This window comes from Homo sapiens, chromosome 1, assembly GCF_000001405.40.
Source record: "Homo sapiens chromosome 1, GRCh38.p14 Primary Assembly".
NCBI lineage: Eukaryota > Metazoa > Chordata > Mammalia > Primates > Hominidae > Homo > Homo sapiens.
In genome coordinates, this window is record NC_000001.11 from 87,637,736 (window position 1) to 87,644,182 (window position 6,447).

At 40.9% G+C, this 6,447-nt stretch overlaps 1 annotated feature.

Annotated features, from left to right (window-relative positions):
• Positions 4,666 to 5,978: an enhancer, noted in NCBI's record as "VISTA enhancer hs1002". NCBI's record gives its function as "enhancer in: heart[3/5]" and the evidence as "EXISTENCE:transgenic organism evidence [ECO:0001131][PMID:17130149]".

Sequence of the window (6,447 nt, forward strand, 5' to 3'; positions counted from 1 at the left end):
ATAACTCACAGGTGGATTCCTTTTTTGTTACTGTTCTCATTACCATGATTATTATCAGCAATTATACTGTTATTTTTAACCAAATATAGATTAATTTTTTGCTTTCCAATTGCTTAGAGGAGTCCAAAGCAAATGCACAGGAAAGGGAAGGAAATGCTCACTGTTTGAAGACCTGTACAGGGATTATTGGTGGTCCATTCCTCCAAGGTAAAGGCATGTTACTACTGCTCCTCAACAGACCAGCATCGTATGGAATTGAGGTAGAAGGTGAGACTCGACTCCAGAGGCAGGGCTTGGGCACCAGACCAGATTGAGGACTAGCTAAAAGAGGGAAGAGGAGAAAGCACCTCTCTGTAAGACCTGGACACCAGTTTGCTAAGTCAGTTTACCATTGCCATGGCAACACCTGGAAGTTACTGTCCCTTGCCATGGCAGTGACTCAATGATCTGTGCATTAGTCTGTTCTCACAGTGCTAATGAAGACATACATGAGACAAGGTAATTTATAAAGGAGGTTTAATGGACTCACAGTTGCACATGATTGGCGAGACGTCACAATCATGGTGGAAGATGAAGGAAGAGCAAAGTTAACATCTTACATGGTGGCAGGCAGGAGAGCTTGTGCAGGGGAACTCCCCTTTATAAAACTATCAGATCTCATGAGACTTATTCACTATCATGAGAGCAGTGCAGGAAAGACCCGCCCCCATGCATGTTTCAATTACCTCCCACGGGGTCCCTCCCACAACATGTAGGAATTATTACAAATAAAGGTGAGATTTGTGTGGGGACACAGAGACAAACCATATCAGTCTGGAAGTTACCATATTTTGTCTAAGAATTTGTGCATAATTTGCCCCTTAATTTGCATATACTTAAAAATGGGTATAAATATGACTGCAGAGTTGCCTCTGAGCTGCTACTCTGGGCACACTGCCTGTGGGTTAGGCCTGCTCTGCAAGGAGCAGTACCTCTGCCACTGCTGTACACTGCTGCTTCAATAAAAGTTGCTGTCTAACACCACCAGCTCACCCTTGAATTCTTTTTGGAGTGAAGCCAAGAACCCTGCCAGGCTAAGCCCCAGTTTGGGGGCTCCCCTGCCCTGCATCAGAATGGCCACTTGTAAAGGGAAACAGTTTATGACTTAAAACTTTTTTAAGGTTCATACACTGGCTCCTGATGATAAGTGTTTTTTGAAAGTACTTACTGTTTTTGCATTTCTGTATCCTATGAGATAACATGATGCCTTTCCACATAGTAAATTATCAATAAATGCATATTTAATTTTGCAAAGCATTCTTAGAATATTGTTCTGGAGAAGACCTTGAAAACCCTTCACTGTACAGGTGAGGAAAGTAAGGGGAAGTGAGATCAGTTTTCTCCCCTAGGTTTTGTGGCTTAGAAGTGGCAGTGCTGAAAAAGTGGAGCTCCTTTTTTCCAAGCCATATTACCTCTTAACTTTGAATTCTTTCCATGTTCTCAAAAGGACTCACAAAAAACAAATGAAATATTCCTCTGATCATTGTCTTTTATCAGTTTTAACAATAAACTTTGAAGCCTCTTTATCTACATGTAGCAAAACCTCTTTTTTTCCTGAGTGATTGTATCTAATAGTAAAACTGATTAAGCATTCCTTCTCTCTTCCAGTAAAACACTTCTATCTCCCTAAAAAAGAAAATACAAAAAAAAAATTGCTCATACTAGTGCTGATCTGTTTAAAAGTTAGAATATACTTAACCTAGTCTTTCTGTCTCAATCTATCCTGTATTTATAATTGTTTAGCATTGGCCAGGTGCGATGGCACATGTCTGTAATCCCAGCACTTTGGGAAGCCAAGGTGAGTGGATCACCTGAGGTCAGGAGTTTGAGACCAGCCTGGCCAACATGGTGAAACCCCATCCCTACTAAAAATACAAAAATTAGCCAGGTGTGGTGGTGCACCTCTGTAATCCCAGCTATTCGGGAGGCTGAGGTGGGAGAATTGCATGAACTTAGGAGGTGGAGGCTGCAGTGAGCTGAGATTGTGTTACTGCACTCCAGCCTATGAGACAGAGCCAGACCCCCATCTGAAAATAATAATAATAATAATAACGATAATTGCTTAGCATTATGGCCATATGCATTAAAAAGTCCCTACTCATCAAATAAGCATTGATATAGTCACTACATTGTCCTTAAAGATGAGAAATTTGTACGTTTTAAAAGTCTTTATGTCTTTATAGAAAACTTATAGAAGTAATTTTCCCATGTAGTTGTAAATTCAATTAATCAAAATTCTATATTCTCTGCAATTTTTTTTTTTTTTTTGAGATGGAGTCTTGCTCTGTCACCCAGGCTGGAGTGCAGTGGCACGATCTTGGCTCACTGCAACCTCCACTTCCTGGGTTCAAGCAATTCTGCCTCAGCCTCCCGAGTAGCTGGGATTACAGGCGTGCACCACCACACCCAGCTAATTTTTTGTACTTTAGTAGAAACGGGGTTTCACCGTGTTGCCCAGGCTGGTCTCGAACTCCTGAGCTCAGGCAATCCACCCGCCTAGGCCTCCCAAAGTGCTAGGATTACAGGCATGAGCCACTGTGTCTGGCCCATGCAAATTCTATTTTTATTTATTTTTTATTTTTGCTTTTTTTTTTTTTTCTGGACTCTTGCACTGTTGCCCAGGCTGGAGTGCAGTGGCGCGATCTCAGCTCACTGCAAGCTCCACCTCCTGGGTTCAAGACATTCTCCTGCCTCAGCCTCCTGAGTAGCTGGGACTACAGGCGCCTGCCGCCACGCCCGGCAAATTTTTTGTACGTTTAGTAGAGATGGGGTTTCACCGTGTTAGCCAGGATGGTCTCAATCTCCTGACCTCGTGATCTGCCCAACTCGGCCTCCCAAAGTGCTGAGATTACAGGCGTGAGCCACCGCGCCTGGCCATCTTTTGGTTTTTAAATATAGAGATGGGATCCTACTATGTTGCTCAGGCTGGTCTCAAATTCCTGGCCTCAAGTGATCCTCCCATCTTGGCCTTCCAAAGTGTTGGGATTACAGGTGTGAGCCACCGCACTCAACCTTAAAATTCTAGTTAAGTATGGTTTGAACTATTGTGTTTCTTTTGTCATGTTTGAATATTTCCTGTCGCTTGCACTTTGATTTTTGAGGTAATGCACATTGAAAACAAGACATAAATTAAGCCCTCCTATTTACTTGAATCTCGTAGGAACACAAGCTGAATGTTATAAAACAAGACTTAACCCTGCATATCAGGAAATAAAATAAGTTTCCAGGGTGAGACATGCAAGTCGGTGGAAATTAGACAGGGAAAGATCATTTCAAGTTAGAATTATATAGGGAAATTCCAGGATGGGCAGAATTGTTTGGACAAGATGTTTAAGGTTTACAGGTATCAAAGGTATACAGAAATAGGTGTGGTCTCTGTGGTGGTCAAGAAGGAAGGTGGCCTGGGCAGAGCAATGGTCACAGAATTGATGAAGGCAACGATAAACAATAAAAGCAATATTTATGTAGCACTTGTAAGCATTATCACACTTAGCCTACACAACACTTCTAGAGGTGAGTACCACTGCCATTGCTAGCTAAGATCTGAGGGCTCAGAGAGGACAAGAATTTGCCAAAATCACAGTGCAAGTAAGGGACAGAATCCTCTGACAGATTAAGCTCTGGGAGCAAAAAATGCCAATGGCTTGACTCTGTTCTAAGATGAAGTTCTGGCTCTTTTCCTTTGTCCCCTCCTCTTCCTCCTTCTCCTCTTTGTTATTATTATTTTTAATCTGAGAATTCCAATTGTTTGTGTATTAACCTGGCCAATAGTAGGTGATGCTATGCATTGTATTCTAGACACATTTCCCAATACCCAGGACCTATCTCTTTTGGGCTGGTTATCTTCTTCTCAGAGATTTGTTATTTCCGAGAATTTCTTGATGGAAGAAGCATCTTTTATTGTTTGGGACCTGTGAGCACGGGCCCCACGTGCCCCCCATGCCCAGCAGAACTAGGGAATATGAGTGAAGGTCTGTGGAGCATAAGGCATCCAAACAGCAACACTGAAGATCCATCCTGAATGACGTGAGAAAAACACATTTCTGTGCAAATCAAAAGCTAACAAAATGAAGCCCTCAGGATGAAATAATTCCTCAATCAAAAATCACTTTGGTGGAAATACGTACTGACACCTGGATTTGCAAGAAAAAAAATATGAGACTGAAAAAGAATTAGAGCTCCCTTTCAATTAATAAATCTTGGCTACTGTTGGTAGCACTGAGTTTTGTTTTCCAAATGAGGTTTAAAACTATATTTTGTAAAAATGCAAAATGACAGGTATTTAAACTCATCCACTTCCTTCGAGCACTTTCCCTAGAATCTGTTTTTATCTGGTCTTTTTAACCACATGCATGCCATATGTACATTCCACCCAGGACCACTGGCCAGGGGCAATTCCACAGTGATCAATCGAGCAGCATGCTGTTTACCTCTTGTCTTTCAGGCTGAAAAAGGTGCCCTTTTGTCAGAGTAGACTCCCTCTGGACAGTCCATAGATTAAAGAGAAAAATAAAACCCCCAAATGACTAAAAATAAAACCTTGCAATGACTAAAAGTTAGAAACAACCATAATAAAAAGAAATATAGTCGGGAGAAGAATATTGTGGATTTTCTTCTTGGAAATTTTGAGAAACCTTAAGACGCAGGTCTAGAATGATCTTACTGTTGGCCACAGTCAAAGGACACATAGCTTTAAATGAAAGTTTCAGGGTGGGTATTTGAGAATGTTGGGGCTCCTGAAATGATTATCTGTTTGAGCAGGTGGCGTCCATGAACTGGTCCTGAGGACATACTCCCCTGGTCTTTTAAGTCTGAGGTCAAACATTTCACAGACTCTGCCACACTAAGTGATTAACAAAACTAAGTTGTAGCTGGTAGGCAGCTGGGTGCTTATAGCCTTGTAAGCCCCAGTGGTTTAGGCTTCTTTGATTATAGGAGCTGACCTTGGTCTCTACAAGAGTTGGGCAATCTGGGGGACTGGACAAACTGCAAATAGATTGCTAGGAGTTTCCTGTTTTCATTCAGATGTGTACAAATTACCTCAACATGCCCTTTTTTCCAGAAAACACTAAGGTCTGAAAGAAACTCTTGTTATATTGTTGCCACTTAGGTTTCACTGAGCCTGCATTATCTACTCACAGCTTTAATGACTTCCTGCTGAGAGAGGTTCTGTAGCAGTCTTGGCAGCAGGGCTAAGAATAGCATTAAATGCAAGGTTATCTAGGCATTACACTCACTGTAACATGCAATTAACTCTCCTCTTCCATTTTCATTACACAATTATTCATTAATGTCAATTTAATTTTATGCATTGTTCTACATGACCGAAGGCTGATTACGGGCCTTTTCACTCCAATATCCTAAGTTAACTGGTGCCAGCCGCACTCAGGGCTGCCTAATTGCAATTTAGCCCAGAAAATTCCTCCCATTTTTGCCCTCCAGTAATGGAACAACAGATCATGGCCAGGTAAAGATTTTAAGGTGGAAATAAAGCCCAAGCTACAAAACACTGAAGTTCAGAAAAGCCTTTTTTCTTTTATTTAACGGAATAAAGGCTCTCTGGAAAAATTAAATGAAGCAAGTTTTGTCCCCTTTTTAAAAATATGATGCTTTTGTGAACTGGAGTTTAGTAATTTTAACATAACTACCAAAGTCAGAGTGTACCCCAGGTCCAAGAACCCCACTGGGCTCCTTTAGTTCAGCAACATCCTTATAATGCAAAGCTATGCTGTCCACACCTAGGAATTTTGAATGATAATGTGGAATCCACAGGAACATTGGAGAATAGTTTCCATAGGTTTGATGGGTTTTTTGACATTAATGAATAATTATTTGTTGCTGTTGTTTTAGAATATGGGCAGGTTGTAGGGTTCTGAAGTTAGTCTTTTTACAACTGTAATGGAGTGTTTTTTGAACAGCATCCCTCAGGAGGTAGAAATGAAAAGAATCCTGCTTCTCTCAAAAGCTTTCCCCACTACAGTCTTTCTACTTCAAATCAGAGTAAGTTCATTAGATATCCACCTTAAAACTATAATGGTGATGTAGACTAACAGTAATTCAGATCCTCATACATCCTTGTGTCCAAGTAATTCACATTATCGTTTAATCTGCACAAACAGCTCATCATTAGCTTTTCTAGTTTTATCAGCAGACAATTGTTGAAAATTAAGATTTAAAGAACTATTAACGAGGAAGCTGGGACTGTTCCCTGCTTTCTGTAGGTAGTTACTGTTGTTAAATCCAGGGGAAGGTGAGTCTCTGGGATAATGAAATCTATTAAAAGTCAGGAAATAAGTCTGTCCCCTCTCACAATGGGTTACTAGGTTCATTTCACAGAAGGCTTCAGTGCTAGCTTCTTTGCAAACCACAAGTAGTCAGAATATATGAACACACACATACTTTTAAGCA